The sequence below is a fragment of the Homo sapiens genome, chromosome 4 (genome assembly GCF_000001405.40).
Source record: "Homo sapiens chromosome 4, GRCh38.p14 Primary Assembly".
Lineage (NCBI taxonomy): Eukaryota > Metazoa > Chordata > Mammalia > Primates > Hominidae > Homo > Homo sapiens.
This window is the reverse complement of record NC_000004.12, coordinates 158,578,402-158,598,818: the sequence shown is the minus strand read 5'-3', so window position 1 is coordinate 158,598,818 and position 20,417 is coordinate 158,578,402. Positions and strand designations below refer to the sequence as shown.

At 39.0% G+C, this 20,417-nt stretch overlaps 1 protein-coding gene across 24 annotated transcripts in view, besides 1 other annotated feature; it reads right to left on the bottom strand.

Annotated features, from left to right (window-relative positions):
- The window catches only part of RXFP1 (relaxin family peptide receptor 1), a 131,659-nt gene that overhangs the window by 54,554 nt on the left and 56,688 nt on the right, over positions 1 to 20,417 (bottom strand). For 21 of the 24 annotated variants that reach the window (NR_045579.2, NR_045580.2, NR_045582.2 and 18 more), the window contains one exon: positions 5,320 to 5,418. The exons of the other annotated variants lie outside the window; for them this stretch is intronic. Coding sequence is in view for 13 of the 21 variants with exons in the window: in XM_011532179.3 (XP_011530481.1) it covers positions 5,320 to 5,418 (99 nt within the window). In the remaining 8 variants the exon portion in view is untranslated. The remainder of the gene's footprint in view (positions 1 to 5,319; positions 5,419 to 20,417) is intronic. 24 annotated transcript variants of the gene reach the window in all.
- Positions 18,233 to 18,809: an enhancer, noted in NCBI's record as "OCT4-NANOG hESC enhancer chr4:159501162-159501738 (GRCh37/hg19 assembly coordinates)". NCBI's record gives its function as "activates a minimal SCP1, AML or CMV promoter by ChIP-STARR-seq in naive H9 embryonic stem cells {active_cell/tissue: H9 hESC(naive)}" and the evidence as "EXISTENCE:reporter gene assay evidence [ECO:0000049][PMID:30033119]".

Genomic DNA, 20,417 nt, shown 5'->3' with positions numbered 1-20,417 from the left:
AGGAGTTCTTCAAATAATTTTTTAAAAAATCTTTTGGCTTAAATAGGGGTAAAGGATGAATAAAAGTTTATTTATGGGAGTGAATGTTTTTTCTGCATAGGATTCTATTTTCACTGGTGTTTGGTGTTGGAAAGAGAGGGAGAATGAGGTGTATGACCTTGGCCATCTTGTGGAGCTGTAGCGATAGTGTTAGGATGTGAGTCAATACATCTAAAGTCTATTAGAGATTTGCAATGATGTATTCATATAGCTAAACAGAATAATGAGATTATTATTTAGGATAATAAATATAGTTTGATTCCTGCTCTGATGGGGAATGGCGAATTCCTGAGAGCAATGAGAAACGTTTTCTCCCCATATTGACTTCTGGAGCCCTAACCTATACAGCAGGGGTTACAGACTCCAGTGTCTCCAGCGGTCAGGCAATGTCACTGTAGACTGTGTCCAGATGTCCAAGTGCAACAGCTTCTCTCATCTGTTGCCATATTAGAATAGGAACATGTGTAGCTACATCTACCAACTTCCTCAAAGAAGCCATAAATACAATGTTTTATATATAACTATCTATTTAAAAACTGATATTAGCTAACTGAAAACATTTAAAAATATTATTGGACAAACAAAACCGTCTATGAGAGTTTTCTGCTTGTAGGCTTCCAGTTTCTGACCTTTATGGTGAAACTTGCAGAGAGCAAGCAAGTGTCTCAGTGGCTAAGCAGAGACCTCTGTGAATGACTGTTCATGAGGAGCTTTTTGGCTCAGATATGGGGTGACATGTGTTCTTCCTCTCCTCCCAAATATCTCCAGAGACGTCTTCACAGGGTTACAAGAGATCAGGACCATAACCTAGATTTAGTGTTTAATATAAACAGAGTATCTGCCAAGAACTTTACAACAGTTTTATAGTTGCAAGTACCCACTTTGGTTGTGGATGTCTGAAAACTGATGCTGTCTCTTTAAGTTACAATCATATCTCATATGTGAGTCTGTGTGTATGCTGTGGGGATGGGATGGAAAAGGTTGGGAAGGAAGAAAGGTCCTGAGAATGAAGTAGGAAGGGCAGAAACGGAGGGCAGTGAAATTAGCGTTAATCCCAGTGTGTTTTTTTCATATACAGAGACTAAATTAAGATAATTCATATATGTTGATTACAGGGTTATCTGCAATAGGGAAAAATGAAAAAACAACACATAAATATCCAACAGCCAAGGAATGATTAAGGAAATTATGTCACTTACAAAATATACTATTACATGGAATATTTTAAAAGATGTTGTAGTAATATGGATACCTGATTATGCCGAAATGCTAATTGAAAATTTGATAAAAATGGTTTGTATAGGAAATTTCAACTATGTTAAAATAAAAAAAGACGAGTAATGCAGTAGCAAGTTAATGCTGGTAGCTTCTGAATGGTCAAATTATGGTTAAGTAAGTAATTCTTTCCAAATCTCTGTACTTTTCAAATCCTTTAAACTTAAATTTTGTTAATTTATTGGCTCATGATAGATATTATATTTTCCATTATATTGCCCTTGAGAGATGACTTTAATAATGTGAATTCCTCACATTATTCTAGTCAAAAATGATTATAAGCTTTGCTCAGTTTAATTTCCAATAAATCCCTATAATAATCTGCTTTAAATAAGGTGGGACACTAGGAACCTTAACTTAAATTTTAACCCCAAGTTTTACACTACACTTGCCATTCTATTTTTACACTGTTTTCAAGTTTGAAACATATATTTAGTCGTTAGCTGCACTACCCCCCACAAATTGTCTTTAACTCTCAATGATATATTTGTTTTTGTTAAGTACTGATGAAAAAAATTACTTTTTTTTAATACAGCATTTATTACATAGCCTCATTCCTTTTATGTAATTATACTTGTGACAAATGTCTTCCAGGGTGCAGGATCACGCAAAAATATATTTCTCTTGCTGACTTACCTGGTTTTTCCCCATTTGTTTGTTTTGCTTTACAAACTATGAAAGTTATGTAACCCATTATTTTCTCTCTTGGACTTGACAGCTATGAAATTCATAACTAGGCTTCGGATGAAGTCACTGAACTTTTCTCAGGAAGGATTTTCTTAATTTTTCTTTGTCATTCGCTTTCCACTCACCACTGAACTTTTGTCTTTTATATCATGTGAATGGTTTAAGGCTTTTAGTAGCTGTATTTTAATTGTAAGTTGCTGAAAATCCTTTTGGGAATAAGGTGAGGTATTAAAAGATTCAATTAAAATTTAAGAAATAGACCAGGCGCAGTGGCTCATGCCTGTAATCCCAGCACTTCGGGAGGCTGAGGCGGGTGGATCACCTGAGGTTGGGAGTTCAAGACCAGCCTGACCAACGTGGAGAAATCTCGTTTCTACTAAAAATACATAATTAGCCAGGCGTGGTGGCACATGTCTGTAATCCAAACTCGGGAGGCTGAGGCAGAAGAATCACTTGAACCTGGGAGGCAGAGGTTGCAGTGAGCCAAGATTGCGCCATTGCACTCCAGTCTGGGCAACAAGAGTGAAATTCCATCTCAAAAAAAAAAAAAAATTAAGAAATAAAAAGAAAACAATATATGATAAAAGAAAAAAACTGTTTTGAGACAACATGGCTTAATTCATTATTTTAAACATTATATTATCAGTTAAATTATATCTATTAACGTTTTCCTTTCCCAAAAACTTTTAGCTGTTTTTTTTTCTGCCTCTGAGAGAGGGTTTTGTTCTGTTGCCTAGGCTGGAGCACAGTGGCTCAATCACAGCTCACTGCAGCTTCAATCTCCTGGGCTCCTGAGTAGCACAGCTAAGTTTTAATTTTTTTTTTTTTTTTGGAGAGATTGGGTTCTCACTATGTTGCCCAGGCTGGTCTTGAACTCCTGGTCTCAAGTGAGATCTTCCTACCTCAGCCTCGCAAAGTGCTGGGATTATAAGTGTGAGCCACTGTGCCCAGCCAATTTTTAGCTTTTTAATGGACAAATTATTTGGTCTCCCTCTAAATAATGGCATGATGCTGAGACAGATTGCTGAGTACCCTGTGAATCTCACAAGAGTGACGTCTATCCCCTTAAACTGGAGATTGTTAGTGGTATTTGATTAACCTCATTTGAGTAGTGAAGATAAAAAATATTAAAAATTTAAAAAGCTAGACTTTACAATTTATGGTAGAACATGAAGAAAAAAATATAGCAAAGGATTTCTTCCTCTATGCCTTGCTTTTTTAAAAATAATTTTTGCAAGAGAAAAAACTTTATATTTGCAACAGATAGGCAATCCTTACATTTTAATATTTCATATTTTGTTGATCTACTAATTCATAACACTAGTATTTAATATGTGGCCATTACCTATTCATCTTAAATGGTTTTACGAAAAGGATATGACCAGGAAGGCACTATATAGGAAAAAAAGAACAGAGGAGGAGCTGGCATTGCCAGGTGACATGAAGAAACTAAATATATGATATAAAATTTGTCTAAAATAAACTCTTAGTCACCTCTCCACCATTTTGTAGTGAATAGCCATTGATTGCTCATTCATGACTGTTTTCCATTCAAAGCTGCCCAGATAATGTTTTGGGAAGGTGGGAGTGATATAAGTTGTACAAAACGGAGAGAATAGAAAACGTGATGATGAGTAAGAGAATTGAATAATTAGCATTTACTAGGACTAGCAAAAGGTAAACTGTGGCTCTATGTATAAACATGTATTTTCTAGAACTCATAGTGTAAAATTTTACTCTTTTAAATAATTGAACTCTACAATAGTTAAATCATTGCCTACATAATACATTGTGCTTATATCTACGACTAAAGACATAATTTAGGATAATGCAACCTTAGAAAAATAATGTTATAAAATAACCACCTAAGCATTTGTTATTAAAATGTAGTTATTATTATATAACATTTACATAAATAAAGCCTCAATTATTCAGACATATTGTTAATCTGGCATGCTTCAGAATCAAAAAAGGATAAAAATAAACCATGAATTAAAAACCCAGCAAAGAATTCTGTGAATGTTTTTATTGTTAGCTAAAAAACTAAAAGTTTTAGCTATAAGAAAAATTATTATAAAAAATACATGTTTAAAATATACTTATTCAACTGGGCTTAAAAAAATTCAACTGGGTTTTACTGTAACCATAATTAACCCATTAAATATGTATGTTTCTGGGCAGATACAAAGATGAAAAATAAAACAAAACATCCTATCTATAGCCTCCTATATAGACTTCAACAATAATTTATTGAGTGCTCACTATGTGCAAAGCACTATTTATTTTAGGCACTAGAAGATCAGCAAAAAAAAAAAAGTCAAACAAAGTACCTATTGTCATAGTCATTGTCATAGTGCTTAGGATCTGATGAGATAATTCATACACCACCACAACCAGCACCACTACCACCAGCAATTATGATAGTGCCACCCCAGAAAATAACACAGAGTAAGCTCATAGAGTAATGAGGGTAGGGCTGAGGACGCGGCTGTTTTATACAGCGTTATCACTGCAGTCTTCTTTGATTTGAACAGGGCCCTGAATAAGCTGAGGGTCACCAACTAAGCAGATACATGGGAGAAAGTTTCTCAAAGAACAGTCTGTATAGAGGCTGTGATATGGAACCATGTCTGGAATGTCAGAGGAATAGCAAATATGCCTTGCTTTTAAACCAAGGTTTTGAAAAGCTAGGGTCAAAATGACAGCTCCAAGATACAGATTTACATTTGCATAATGTATTAGAACTGACAAAATTTATTTAAGAGGAGTTATTTTCATATATCTTTCTGATCTAAAATATTATAGTTAATCCTCAGGTTTATACCTTCCATACCCCTCCAGTGTTTTTGTAAGTTTTCAGTGTATGACTGAACATAGTGGGTTATAATGAATAAGGGTTTTGCAGCTCAGAAGAATTTTTTCTAGCAAACATTAAAATCCAAACAGCTTTTCTGCCCTCTCTACTTTCTCTGTTTTCTTTACATCACACTTTATAGTGATTGTGAAAAGAGAAGTCATATAAAATAACATCCTTGACTGACATTGATTCTGTTCATAACAATATCTGACACCATTTATTACTTCTACACTTAAGATCCCTGAGTCTTTTTTGAAATAAATTTTCCTAGTTAAAGTTGTATATTTAATAGAATTTGCAATTAGAAAACTATAATTGACCTCTTACGAATTTTTAAGTTTCTTTAATTAAAACTGATTTCCAGATTGAGATGCAATCTTTTTTTAAAATGTTGAATCAAACTTTTAAAAATGGTGTCTTATGAACTCATGGAAAAGAAAATAACTGCTCTGATTACTTACAACATTCAGGTGTTTCTGCCTCAAAAGGATATTGGGAAGTCATTTTGTAGTAACTGGCAAAATATTTGTCAAATTGCAGAGACCATCCATTGTTGTCTCCTAAAATAAAAATCAGAGAACAAAAAAGTTCAAGGAACAGAGATATTCTGGTATATTGTGGGGAGACAGGTCCTCTCTTTAAAACAGTCCAGTGGTTTCTCCAAATGTAGCGAGATAAACATTATCTGGAAACTTGCTATAAACGTGAATTTATGGACCCCCACCTGGAGATTCTCATTTTATAGTCTGAGATGGGCTCCCTAGTCACCATTTTAAATTTAATTTAATTATTTCGATTAAAAACATTTTGGGGGAGTGAATTATGAAAAAACCATTCTCCAGTTTTTTTTGTTTGTTTTTGTTTTTTTTTTTTTGAGACAGAGTCTCGCCTGGTCGCCCAGGTGGAGTGCTGTGGCACGATCTCAGCTCACTGCAACCTCCACCTCCCTTGTTCAAGTGATTCTCCTGCCTCAGCCTCCCAAGTAGCTGGGACTACGGGAACTTGACACCACATCTGGTTAATTTTTTTTTTTTTAGTAGAGATGGGGTTTCACTATGTTGGCCAGGCTGGTCTCTAACTCCTGGCTTCAAATCTGTCCGCCTCGGCCCCCCAAAGTGTTGGGATTACAGGCGTGCGCCACCATGCCCTGACTATTCTCTGTTTTTAACAAGCACTATAGGTGTTCCTGAAGTAAGTAATATTTTGACGTTTTAAGAAGCAGTATTTTAGACATATCCAAATATGGCACACTGTTCTTAGTATTTTACAATAATTATGTTTCCCTACATCTTCTTCAATCTCTAAAACTGATGTTGGAGATGTATAAACATGGCTAGACAGCCATGATTATTAACTTTTTTTATGTTACTTTATTTATTTATTTTTGAGATGGAGTTTTGCTCCCGTAGCCCAGGCTGGAGGGCAATGGCACTATCTTGGCTCACTGCAACCTCTGTGTCCTAGGCTCAAGTGATTCTCCTGCCTCAGCCTCCCGAGTAGCTAGGATTCCAGGCACCCGCCACCACGCCTAGCAAATTTTTGTATTTCTAGTAGAGACGGGGTTTCACCATGTTGGCCAGGCTGGTCTGGAACTCCTGACCTCAGGTGATCCACCAGCCTCGGCCCCCCAGAGTGCTGGGATTACAGGTGTAAGCCACCATGCCTGGCCGATTAACTTTTAAGAAAGAAAGAAAACATGACTGGCATGATCTAATTTCTTTTCTCTTTTTCTTTTTTGAAAGGCACCATGGTATCTAAAGTGATTATTCTCTGAGTGCTTATATATATATTTCTATATTTTCTTATTTCTATTTTAAACCCCTATGTCACTTTTAAAAAAATAGAAGATTTTATTTGTGGGATAAAAGGAAGAAGCTTTTCTCACAAAATTCCTAATGATCTTTTAGTTACTTTGAAACATAAGAGACAGTGCAGTCAAGCAAGTGATAGAGTGGACTAGTGAACAGGGATGAAGAAGCAGTTTCTCTGGGGATCTCTGCACATGGTACAAGCCTTCATTCTCTTGGTAGGGGTTGGTATGTGATCTTCTCTAGACCTTCTAAATTTTTTCCTGAATGCTACCAGGACTCCCTAAGGATGCCCAAACATATGAACAGAGAGTGAAGTTATAAAAGTTTGTCCTATTTCTGTAAGTTAGTATTAAGTCTAGCATTGATTTCTTTTAAAATTTTTAAAATTAAAAAAGTTTTTTGAGACAGCGTCTTGCTCTGTCACTGAGGCTGGAATGCAGTGGTGCAATCTCAGCTCACTGCAACCTCTCCCTCTTGGGCTCAAGTGATCCTCCTCCCTCAGGCTCCTGAGTAGCTGGGATTATAGGGGTGCACCACCACGACTAATTTTTTTTTTTTTTTTTTGTAGAGATGGGGTTTTGCTATGTTGCCCAGGCTGGTCTTGAACTTCTCGGGTGAGGTGATCTACCTGCTTTGGCCTCGAAAAGTGCTGGGATTATTAGGCGTGAGCCACTGCAGACTTCTGTATGGGACTCTAGAAGGCCATCAGTAACTTCGTGGACAAGGGACAGTGCCCCAGAAACCAGCAAATACCAGCCCCTGAACACCCAGGAACAAGTTCAAGGTGCCTGCCCAACTCTTAACACATGCATCAGTTGATATGTTAGGCAGAGAAACAGGAGTAGGAGAAGGAAATTTGAAAGAGTCGGCATATATAGCCAAATAGAGACTAAAACTTCCTGAGACTGTGGTGGCTTTTGTGAATGTTTGCTCCTCTTTTATTCTACCCCCACTTTAGAATGCTTTCGTATTCTTCAGAAGTTGGTAACTTAAATATATGTTTTCCAGACCCTAAGTAGCCAGGATTCTTGTTATAGATAAGCTTCTACCAATTGGACGCACTCTTGTGAGACCTGAGGTTTATACACACCAGCCTCATGGATATCTAGTGGCAGTTAGGGCAGTTACTGCAGCCAGCCTCAGGGTCCCAGTTTCATGGATGTAGAGATGATTAGCAGTAGCAGTTGTGACAGAAGCAAATGCTTCTTGATCTTGGGCTTGCAACTATACAGTGGTGTATTCCCTACCTCTGACTCCTTCCGCAGCCTTTAAAATGATTCTACAAACACATTTTTCCTGTATAAAATATATTTTTTTCTTAAGCTTCTCTTTCCCAAAAATATCTAGAGTGGTTTCTGTTTCCTCCTTCCAGAAGGGGTTACAGATAACAGACTCTCAGACATCTCAAGGATGGAAACATCGGATGGGTTATCTATTCCGATTCTTCTTACAGATAACGGCAATCATGTTATTATTAGAACTTGGGACTCTCATAATTAATGGTACACAGTGACAAAAAGAAGTCACTTAAATTATTGCTATGGCTTCCTGGAATGATGTGTCTGTTAGAAGGCTAGACTCTGGCAAAGTTCTTGCTACGATAAATCATTAGAATGAGAATGAGAAATTTCAAGGGTTGTGAAGTGGGATTGCTAAAGAAATAGCTCTGGAGAGATTAAAGAAAGGAAACAGCTGGGCACGGTGGCTCATGCTTGGAATCCCCACACTTTGGGAGGCCGAAGCAGGCAGATCACTTGAGGTCAGGATTTTGAGACCAGTCTGGCCAAGGTGGAGAAACCCCCATTAGAAATACAAAAATTACCCAGCCATGGTGATACATGCCTGTAGTCCCAGCTACTCGGGAGGCTGAGGCGTGAGAATCGCTTGAACTTGTGGGGCAGAGGTTGCAGTGAGCCGAGATTGCACACTGCACTCCAGCCTGGGTGATAGAACTACCCTCAGATAATCTTTTATTTCTTGTGGCCTTAGCTTAGGACTGATGTATCCCTACATTATATAGAATCTGATCCTATGGGTTGTTAAGTTACAGTATAAGTTGAATTCATATTTTGTCATATCATTAAAAAAATTTTTTTTTGAGACAGGGTCTCACTCTGTTGCCTAGGTTAGAGTGCAGTGGTGTGATCATAGCTTACTGCAGCCCCAAACTCCTGGGCTCAAGGGATCCTCTCACCTCAGCCTCCTGAGTAGCTGGGACTATAGATGCATACCACTATGCCCAGCTAATTTTTTATTTTTGTAGAGATGGGGGTCTCTCTGTGTTGCTAAGGCTGGTCTGAAACTCCTGGCCTCAAGTGATCCTCCCACCTTGGCCTCCTAAAGTGCTGAGATTATAGGTGTGGGCCACTGTGCTCCGTCTGTCATATCTTTTAAGTGAACATTAGAACACTGATTGGCAAGACAGACCTTGTGAATTGCACTGGGACATTTGTGTGTGTTCAGTCAAATATGACCACTCTAAATCCCCTTCCCACAAAACCTCCCTTGCAAGCAAAAGCAGCTCCCCTTTCCTGTCTGATGAGGTTAGTTGTAGTTTGTTTGAAGACACATGAGTTACTTTACTTGAGGTAAATAAGTTGCCAACTCTCCTCAGGCCCTTTCATTACCAGGCTTCTTTGCTTCTCAACCTATTATAACTGGAGCCAGAGCCCAGCATGCTGCAGAACACAAATTGGACTTAGAGAAGACTGACATACCAAAAGATTTTGCTATTTTATAAAAGCAGAAACCCAAGGAATTTGCATGAGAATGGTTTCTGCAAGCATTAGACCAGGAAGTAGAAATATAGCTTTAGGTTAGGCAAAGCTAATCGATATGGGTATCTGATATGGTTTGGCTGTGTCCTCCCACTCAAATCTCACCTTGAATTGTAATAATACCCACTTGTTAAGGGTGGGACCAGGTGGAGATAATTGAATCATGGGGGCGTGTTCCCCCATGCTGTTCTCCTGCTAGTGAGTGAGTTTTCATGAGATCTGATGGTTTTATAAGGGGCTTCTCCCTTTGTTTGGCACTCATTCTCTCTCCTGCTGCTCTGTGAAGAGGTGCCTTTGGTCACGATTGTAAGTTTCCTGAGTCCTCCCAAGCCATGTGGAATTGTGAGTCAATTAAACCTCTTTTCCTTATAAATCACTCAGTCTCGTGTATTTCTTCATAGCAGCGTGAGAGCGGACTAATACAGTGACCTCCTGGAGTTTCTGGATTCCATGTGTTAGCTCAAGCAGTAGTTTTGCTAGATTGTTGACTGAAATCTGAACCCAATGCTGGCCTAGGCGAAAAGCAATTGAGGAGCAAATGCATACAAATGTTGAGTCACCAATGGAACAGATCATGAGGAACAGCCATTGTATTGTACAACTGCAAGGAACCTGTCATGGAATATGCTGTAGATTGACCCAACTTCATTGGTGTTTTCCTGTGCAGCAGAGACTGAAAAACTTCAGACAACATTTCACACCTCCTGTAGAGCCAGGATTTGGGATCCACTCACATGTATCTTGGTTAGAAGAGAGGTATAAGGTCATTTGTTTGCTGCTCTGTCTAAAACAGAAACATAGGAGCAATTGTGGAAGGGGATTTCAGGTACTACCAGCCTTGTGGGTGTCAAGAGAGGCAGCTGTGTTGGGGGCGGGAGCAGCAGCTGTCTCCGTTGTCAGTCGCAGCCATGATGGATCCAACAGCATGGATGTCAACTTTGTTTACACCCACTCTTCCAGCCCTTCTGAGAAGATTCTGCTTACCTAATTTCTGTCTAATATACCTAGAGTAGTTTCCGGTTTTTTCCATTTAACAATGACAGATGTGGGGAGGCTGACTGAATCATTGGATTAAAGTACGGCGGAACAATGATTAGACATTTAGTTAATTTGGGGAGCTCAAGTGGAATCTCATGAGGGTGAAAAAGCAGTGCATTTTTTCTGAACCCATAAATTTAGTGTAGTTTAATTTTGTGGTTGCCTAAAAAAAAGAGTCACGTGGGTTCTGGGGATGGGATCAGGAGCCTTACAAAATGTTCTGTTCTACTGGGCTCCGGAATCACCATATATTTCCTTGGCTGTCAGGTTTTGAGATTTTGGAAATTTATGGCATTGGACTGTCTTCCTTTCCTAGTTTTGCAGAGTTTTTTGACCTTTTGGCAAGTTTACTTTTGTAAACTTGTTTCATATCTTTAGATAAGGAGAATTCTTTGAGAGACTTTCATTCACCCCTTTTAAGAGAGGCTGAATGCTAGCATTTAGCCCTGAAAGAAGTCATATTTAGCAAGTACCCATCATGTTGTGCTAGGTGCTCCATTTTATCCTCATAACTACATTTGGTCATTATCATCATCTCCACTTACAGATATATATAAGCAGAAACCCAGATAGAAGAATGGATACTGCAGATAGAAAAATTGATACTGAAGAAGGTTAGGTGACCTGACTAAGAAACAGATTTATTAAAAATAACTAAACAATTAAAATCATAAATTATTATTGTATTTCTTTTCTAGGCCAAAGAATTTATGTAATGTTTACATTCTATCTATAGAATTTCACCTTTTGTGGGACATCAGCTTTAAGTATTTAGCTATTACTATTTGCTGCTTATTTTTCTGTTGTCTGTTTCACTTCTGTTATTGAGGCTCTTACATCAGTATTGTGTGAATTATAAAAAAGTTTATTTAAATAACAACCAGAAGTTGTTATTAACTGGAATTTAAATTCACATTATTTTTCTTTATGAAATCAATGAAAGTATTGCAAATCAAGGTATTACTAAAAACAATTTACCAAAAACATAGTAGTGTTATGAGTGGTTATATGTTTATCGATGTTACAAATAAAGCATGTAAGTAGGTAGGCCAGAGTATGTTGAGGCTTTGAGTATTCATATAAACAGTCTTCATGCATATCTGCAGAAGGTGAGTGAGAAATGGGCTTGTGAAGGTTTGAAGGCTTCGACCTTGCAGCCTACCAGGGCCTCGCTTCACTCTGTGCACCACGTTCATGTTCCTGTTACTGCCACATCCACCTACCTCAGGATCAGTGATGGAAATTAGGTGAAGTGACAGCATCCCAGAACACAGGGCTGTTTTGTGGGTAATGTTTCACTGCTGCTAGGAAATTCATGAGAGGTGGCTGGGTGACTGCCATAGATGCTGATTTTCTTTCACTCGGCTTCTTTAGCAGATCCTGTATTTAACTGAGCTTTTACAAATAGACAATTTCAATTTGCTGATTTTCTTTTTTTTTTTTACCATTAATAGATAATGCCATGCTTAAAACCATGGGCTATGTGCAATTTCCTAATCCTTTGTCCTCACCATTGTGTTCATTAAATAGCAACATCATCAAACAAACAAGCCTTTTAGTAATAAGCTTTTACTTTTCTTTCTGCCTTTCCAAAGTATTTTCCTCTTTCTACCCATTACTTCCTCCCACCAGAAGGCAGAAAGCAGAAATATAGAACATGGGAAATGTTGCCAAAATTGCAAAGTTGGAGAGTTAGCATTTTAAAGAAAACAGCTTTTGGTATATGTGTTTCTATATTTTAAATCCTGTGTCCTTCATATTTTAAGGATGTATAGGGCAGTGATCAAAATGGTTTTTCATACTTCAGTAATGATCCTGATGAAATTTATTCTCTGATTTATCTCGAGGCAGTCTAGGGTAGTGGAACAAGCACCGCACAGAAGAGAATATTGGGTTAGGGGATATGGTTTCCAGTATATATGGGTAGTGTTGTAAAAATGGCACCAATAAAACAAATATTTTTACTAAAAAAGAGCTTTTCAGCTAAAAATGATATAGTCATGCTATAAATAAAGTCTAAAAACATAGATTAAGAAAAATCTGATCTTGCATGCTGCATGAGCTTACTAAATATTTGTTGATTGAATGAATGAATGATTGGATTTCTGTCCTTAAAGACACTTCAGAGAAAGCTCAGTCTCTCTTATGCTAAAATAAAAACTGAGAGCTGGGGCATTTATCCAAAACACAAATTTACAGGCTTCTCCACTGGAGACTCTCATTTATTTGGTCAGCATGGAGTCTGGGAAATCTATATTTTTCATAAGTGGCCTAGGTTAGTCTTAAAGCAAGTTTTGGAAGAACTGCATTATGGGATTTGCCATAGTCAACTAGGGTCCTTCTCACATTGCATTGGAGGACAGCTAGAATTTAGTCACAGAAAAATCCTGTGACTCGGAGTGTATTGCTTTTAAGCAAAGTTGCTAGATGTCGACCATCAAGTAGTTTAAGACACTCAAATAAGATTAATGTGGGTGGTCCCCAACTTAAGGACATTTTGCTTATAACGGTCTTATTATACTTACTGTAATCTGCTTCATGCTATGCTTATTGATGTATATATTTTATCTCTTTATGAGAGTATAGTAGAAAATCTTTTTTACCTATGTATTTTTGTATACCTCAGTGACTACTAAGGTACTTTTATCTTTTTTTTTCTTTTATCATCCAGCTCAAAATGTCATAAGGTACTTTTAATATCATTGAAATCTAGCTCTTACTAGTCCTCATAAAGTGTTTAAAGTACATAAAATGCATGAACATTATTTCATTTGTACCAAGTATTAGTTATAATTTAGTTTTATGGAAAAGTGGGTGAGGCATACCAATTTGAATTCTGGAGAAGGCATCTCTCTCCCCCCATGTTGTTAGATTCCCCTGGCACTGGCACTGGGGGATGAGGACAAAGGATGAGATTTGATTGGGGACAGGAAACTTCCAAGTTTCTTGGATGCATTAACTTGTCACAGTGCTTTATCAGGCTTTTCTGAAATAGTTTCTCAGGAATATCCTTGAGAAGAGAGTTCTATGGTAACATATGTTTGGGAAATGCTGCATCCTCTATCCCCACTTGGAATTAATAATGCATGCTGGTATGATGAAATGAGAACTCAGGCAATAAAGAAATAGCTTTAATTTTGTTTAACTCTTTCCATATGACACCTATTAGTACATTTTGAAAATGTTTGCTTTTGCATTTGCACAAGAAGACTGTCTAGATCGTCTAGATCAGTGGTTTTCAAAAGTGTATATCTGGGACCAGCAGCAGCATCACCTGGGAACTTGAAAGAAAAGCAAATTCTTGGGCCTTACTTCAGATGCACCGAATTAGAAACTCTGCAACCTGAGAGCCCAGCAATCTATGTTTTAACGAGCCTTCCAAGTGATTAGATGTCTGCCAACGTTAAAAACTTCTGATTTAGACTAATCATTTTCTAGGTGTTATGAATTGGATAATAAAATTGTCTCCATTGGCATATGAATTATTTCAAAACTTAAACTGGTTTGATAGTCATCTGTGGTATTTGTTAAAAAAATGCAGATTCCTGGGCTTTACTCCTACTTATTAGATTAGCATTTCTGGGGTGGGGGGTTAGGACTCAGCATCTTTCACAGCCCCCCAGGTGGCTCAGATGCAGGTAGTCCTCAGAAACATTCCTGTCGATTTGCAGGGTCACTCCTGGGCTCCCTTGATGTTTGGTTGAGGGACTTATGTCTCTGTCAGAGCAGAGGCCAGAACAGAGTGTGTGATGATGTCATGTTAAATGGTATGATCATTTATGAAAATGAAAGGCTAAATGTGATAGTTTAATAAGTGTACATGCTTATTGATTAATAAATAAGTGGTTAATTTATAAGGCTTGTATTTATGCAAAGTGGAGCCTTTCTTTTTTTTTTTTTGGAGACAGAGTCTCACCCTGTTGCCCAGGCTGGAGTGCAGTGGCATGATCTTGGCTCACTGCAACCTCCACCTCCCAGGTTCAAGCAATTCTCCTGCCTCTGCCTCCTGAGTAGCTGGGATTACAGGGATGCACCACCATGCCTAGCTAATTTTTTGTATCTTTAGTAGAGACGGGGTTTCACCATGTTGGCCAGGCTGGTCTCGAACTCCTGACCTTGTGATCCACCCACCTCGGCCTCCCAAAGTGCTCGGATTACAGGCATGAGCCACCATGTCTGGCCCTAAAGTGGAGCATTTCTGATTCTCACGTATTTAGTCAACTTTCAGTACTCATTCTTCGAACACAGTGGAACATCTTTTGCTCATAAAGTAAAATGAGGTTATTACCCACAAGAGCAGAGGTGCCCTAGGCCACCAGAGTAAACGCTGGAATGCAGGCTGGCCAGGCAGAGCAATTCATCAAACTGTGTGGAGTTTCTTTGAATTTAATGACAACAGCAGTTTGAGGGACAGAATACATATACCTCTTTCTGGGGTCTTAATACCTTTTGGAGGCAACTGTTTATGGAAATCAAAGGATGTGACATTATCCTGGGCATCCTTTAAAGGAAATTGAGGCCACTAACAAATTACCTTTTCTGTGCCATATAGAAGGAAGTGTTCTGAGAGGAAAATCTTTGTGGTGGTAAGCCATACATAGTTTAAGTATCATAAAACACAAATAAACAAATTTGAGGTTAAAGCTAGGTCTGTATTTTCAGAAAAGCCTAGGGTTCAGCTACTTAGGTATTTGCAATGTTATTTTGAGAATAATAAATAGAAAACCAGAAAATTTTGAAAATACAATGCATGATTGTGCATTAATACACATATTTATGACACATCACTTTTCCTCCTGTGTTTTATTTACATTTTTAATTTTTATGGGTACATGGTCAGTCTATATGTTTATGGGGCATATAAGATATTTTGATACAGGCATGTGATGTGTATCCTTCTGTGTTTTTAACTTGAAAACAAGACAAACCACCAACTTTAGTGGAATATTCTAAAATGAGAACCGCTAATGTCTCCATCAAACCACCTGGCATTGCCATCATTCTGATAGCTGTATAGTAAGTTGTACTTGGGAAATAATGGAATAATTAATGTTCCAGAATTTTAAACACAGGACCAATTGAAAATTTTAAAACTGCTTGACATACTTCAAACATTCTTGTAATCTGATTTGAAAATATGTATCATCACCATCACACCCATAAATAAGTACTGCTTATCTAATTCTCATGGATTAGTAAGTGCCAAGCCAGTGACAGGAAAAATACTTTGGGGCATTAACAAAGTTTTCCTTCTCTTAAATTCCTTGCACTTTCTGCTCCTTTTCCTATCCTAGGCAGCTAGAATTAACCACTTTCATTGCCTGAAAGGGATGAGACAGAAGTTTACAGATAATAAGGTAGTCAAATTTCTTGGTATTTGATTTTTAAATGCTTAAATTTGATTACTGACAATAGATATGGAAGACCAAAAAAGAGAAGAGCTGAGCTTTGCTTTTCCCAGACTTAACAAGAGACTTGCACCAGAGAGAGTGGAGGGGTCTTTCTTCCTTCCCTCCTCCTTGGGCTGAATCTAGGGGAAACCACACATTTCCCATATTGGTTTCTGGGCTCTGGGTACAGGGGTAGCCTGGTGTCCTTTGCTAAGTAGAGGCCATATGTATGGCAGGACCCACAGAATTATTGCACACTCTGGCTTGACACAGGAATAGTAGAGGAGAAATGGCCATAAGGGCCTAGGCAGATGGACCTAAATATGAGCATGAAAATTCTCCTGGGCTCAGCCTGGCTCAGGTGTACTAAATGTTTCCTGTGAGCCCCAGAGTGCTGCAGATGTAGGCAGGAGAGGCACTGGATGTGAAAGAGCCTAAGACAGGCAGGAGATGACAGAGTGGTGACTTACGGCAGAGGACCAGATGGATTTATGCACATCTGAGGGGATGCTGCCATCATCAGCTGACAACAGGCAACCAGAACCCCCACACAATGTCCTGGCACCACAGAGACTGCTGAGCTCAACTGCAATGCCAGGTGAAGGGAAATGAATCAGACCTTTAACTGCCTTGGTTTAGACTTCTACCACTTGGAAGAATGGACCCTTGTAGCAGAAATTACCTTTGGCCATAGAAAAATGAAGATTTACATTTCTCACTCACTTGAGAACTTGAAATGATTGTCATGTCTACTGCTATAGTTTGGCTGTTTGTTCCCACCCAACCCCATGCTGAAATGTAATCCCCAATGTGGTAGTATTAGGAGTATTGGGAGGTGGGTCCTAGTTTGGATCATGAATGTGGGTCACTCATGAATAGATTAATGCTGTCCCTTGAGGGTGAACGACTTCTCTTTCACTCTATTGGCTCAAAAGAGAGCTAGCTTAAAAAGAGCCTGGTACCTCCCCTCCTCTCTCTTGCTTCCTCTCTCGCTATGTAATCTTTGCACACACTGGCTCCCCTCTGCCTTCTGCCATGAGTGGAAGCAGCCTGAGCCCTCATCAGAAGCTGAGCAGATGCTGGTACCCTGCTTTTTGGAAAGTCTGCAGAACCATGAGCCAAATAAACCTCTTTTCTTCATAAATTACCCAGCCACAACTATTCCTTTATAACAAGGCAAAACAGACATCCATGACTTGGATGAAATTGATGCAGTGCATCAATGTCTCCATCTTTAAAGGGAACAAAAACAGTCCCTTTCTCCTGGGTTGTCATGAGGATTAAATGAGGTAAAATGTATAAAGCACTCAAAATGGAAACTGCTATAAAAATACTACTCATTATTCATACTATTATACTTGCAATTTTAGGTTTGGAAGTTCATCTAATCTCTTATATATTTTAAAAAGAAAGTTAAAAATAATTTACCTTTTTAAAACCAAAATCCTTAAAGGGAAGACTTCATAGAATTCAAATTTTATCAATAAGAGATTTGTTTGAAGGCCCTACTACACAATGATTAACATCATAAGCATGTTCTTTCCTCCCAAACAAAAACAAAACAGAACAAGCCAAGCATTTGGTATGAATTCTGAGCAAACCATGATGTCAGAAGAGTTATGTAACCTCTCTGTACTTCCATTTTCCTTCCCTGTGTAATGGAAATAGTCTATCATATCTAATTTATAGTGAGGAGGAATGAGAGAATGTGCTTAAAGGATTAGGACTATGTCTGAAACATAATAAATACTAAAAAAATATAAGACACTATTAATTTTATTATTACAACTCTTATTAGACAAAACCAAATATTCCTAGGAGGGTTAGAATATAGTGTCACAAATAGTCATGCACAGGCTGGGTATGGTGGCTCATGCCTGCAATCCCAGCACTTTGGGAGGCCAAGGTGGGTAGATCACTTGAGGTCAGGAGTTCGAGAGCAGCCTGGACCACATGGTGAAACCCTGTCTCTATTAAAAATTAGCCAGGTGTGGTGGCAGGTGCCTGTAATACCAGCTACTCAGAAGACTGAGGCAGGAGAATCACTTGAACCTGGGAGGCGGAGGTTGCAGTGAGCTGAGATCGCGCCATTGCACTCCAGTCTGGGTGATAGAGCAAGACTCAGTCTCAAAAATAATAATAAAAAAAGTAGTCATGCATAGACAAACCTAGAACATAAGATGTCTTTTCAAACCTAAAATATTCAGTGAATGGCAAAATTGCAAAGTAAACTATTACTAACAGACAACAAAGTCCGCCGCAGTGGGGAGGGAAGGCAAAGCATTTAAGATCACATTGGGAAGGAGCTGAAATAGAAAACTTTACGTGGGAAAATGTTCATACTTTCAAGGAGCTTCCCAGAGAAGCATTCATAGGCAGAGGGCAGTTTTTGCTACATGGTAAAGGTGACTCTCTACTTACTGTTGTTTGTTGCCGCAACTTTCTGTGTACATTTGAGAAGTGGGAGGCAGGGAGGGAAGTGCTGGCAAAGTTGAACTCAAGAAAGACTTGGTATATTGTACATTTAAACATTTTTTCTGTATATTATGATATTTAACATCTTTTAAAAAACCTTTCTAGGCTAGTAAGAGATTGTCTTTCCCAGGGCTTGTCAGTTCTTAGAGAGCAAAGGGTGCTCAGAGCATGCCTTTGATATGCAAACTAACCAATCCAGACCTAGAGCTCCTCTGATTAGCCCACACACCCCGGAGGCAATAGTCCTCCTCCTCATTATCCTAGGGCCAGGTAGCTGGGAAGTAAGGACCACTGCTAATGTTTAGAGCCCTCCAAAATTATTCAAACCAGCACATCTTAAGCTGCTCACCCTGCACTGCCTTGTGTTTCCCTCAGAAACCCCAATAAAGGCTCTGGCCTGATGCCTCCCCTCTCACCCGTCTTCTGCCTCCTGACCATCCTGGTGTCTTTCCCATCTAGCCCTGTATGGTATGCCCTGCCTCCTGTCTCTAGAACCTGTGGGAATAATAAACTTTTGTGTTTCTGAGCCTCCCTGGTGTCTCTTGTAGCCATACCTGACTCACCATAACATAAAAGAGTACAAAACACCCGGTAAAAACCATGTGGTTCAAGTTTAGCACAACCCAGAACTGCAAGTGAACAGTGAAGCAAAATCATCTTTAGGAGGTTTTATACCACATACAATTATGCGTAAGAACAGCTCATTGGAAATTCTGTCTAAAATCCACTAAGACTAAATTCTAAGGCTTGCTTTAATCTGGACCAGAACTTTATGTCGACCTTAATAATGTCTCTTTAGGCCCACAGAAGATGGCCCTTCTCCACAAACTGTCCTAACATGCATTGTTCCCCAGGGCTGCTGTAACAAATTCCCACAAACTTGGTGACTTAAAACAAGAGAAGTTGGGCAGGCTGCGGTGGCTCACGCCTGTAATCCCAGCACTTTGGGAGGCCGAGGTGGGCGGATCACGAGGTCAAGAGATCGAGACCATCCTCGCCAACACGGTGAAACCCCATCTCTATTAAATACAAAAATTAGCTGGGGGTGGTGGCATGCGCCTGTAGTTCCTGTACTCAGGAGGCTGAGGCAGGAGAATTGCTTGAACCCGGTAGGCAGAGGTTGCAGTGAGCCGAGATTGTGCTACTGCACTCCAGCCTGGGCTACAGAGTGAGACTCTGTCTCAAAACAAAAAAACAAGAACAAGAGAAGTTTGTTCTCTCACAGTTCTGGAGGCCAGACGTCTGCAACCAAGGTGTCAGTGGGGCCACAGCGTCTCAGAAGGTTTAGGGGGAGAATCTTTCCTTGCCTCTTTCAGCTTCTGATGGCTCCTGGTGTTCCTTGGCTTGTGGCAGCATCGCTCCAGTCTCTGCCTCTGTCTTCACACAGCCCTCTTCTCTCCAGCATCTCTGTATGCCATTTCCTGTCTCTTGCGAGGACACTGTCATTGGATCTAGGGCCCACCCTGATCTAGTATGATGTCACTCTTTACCTGCATTATATTTGCAAAGACCCTATTTCCAAATAAGGTCACATTATTTGCACGTTAATTTTTGGCAGATACTAACACACTACACGACCCAAAATGTATTAGAAGAGGTTTTCCATTTCCCCTATGGGTTATAGAATTGGTAATATGTAAACAGACTGACAAAGGCCTTTATCCTTTTCCTGTAGACAAGGCTGCTAAAGTGCTAAAGAACAAGAGTACAGTAGGGAGGCACCAGAAAGCCAGTCTTCCCAGTTACAGTAATTCAACCTGTCTCTCAGATAAGGTTGGGTTAGTGTAACCATGAGGGGGAGCCCTTATTTAGCACAGCCTTCTGTTTATAACACAGAAGGAATGCTAGAGCAAATTCTAATCTAGAAACGTAAAGAGTTTCTTTTAAATACAAATCTAGAGGAAGTGAACTAATTTAACAGCATCTGAGAATTTGATGTTCCTTTAACATTTTTACTACTGAGCTTGCACTCATTTGAAAATGAACACAGATGATTCCTAAAGAAGAACCCTCAACTTTTTGTTATCAGGTTCCTTTGTTATTTACCCAGATGTATTCTCTCAGGTAT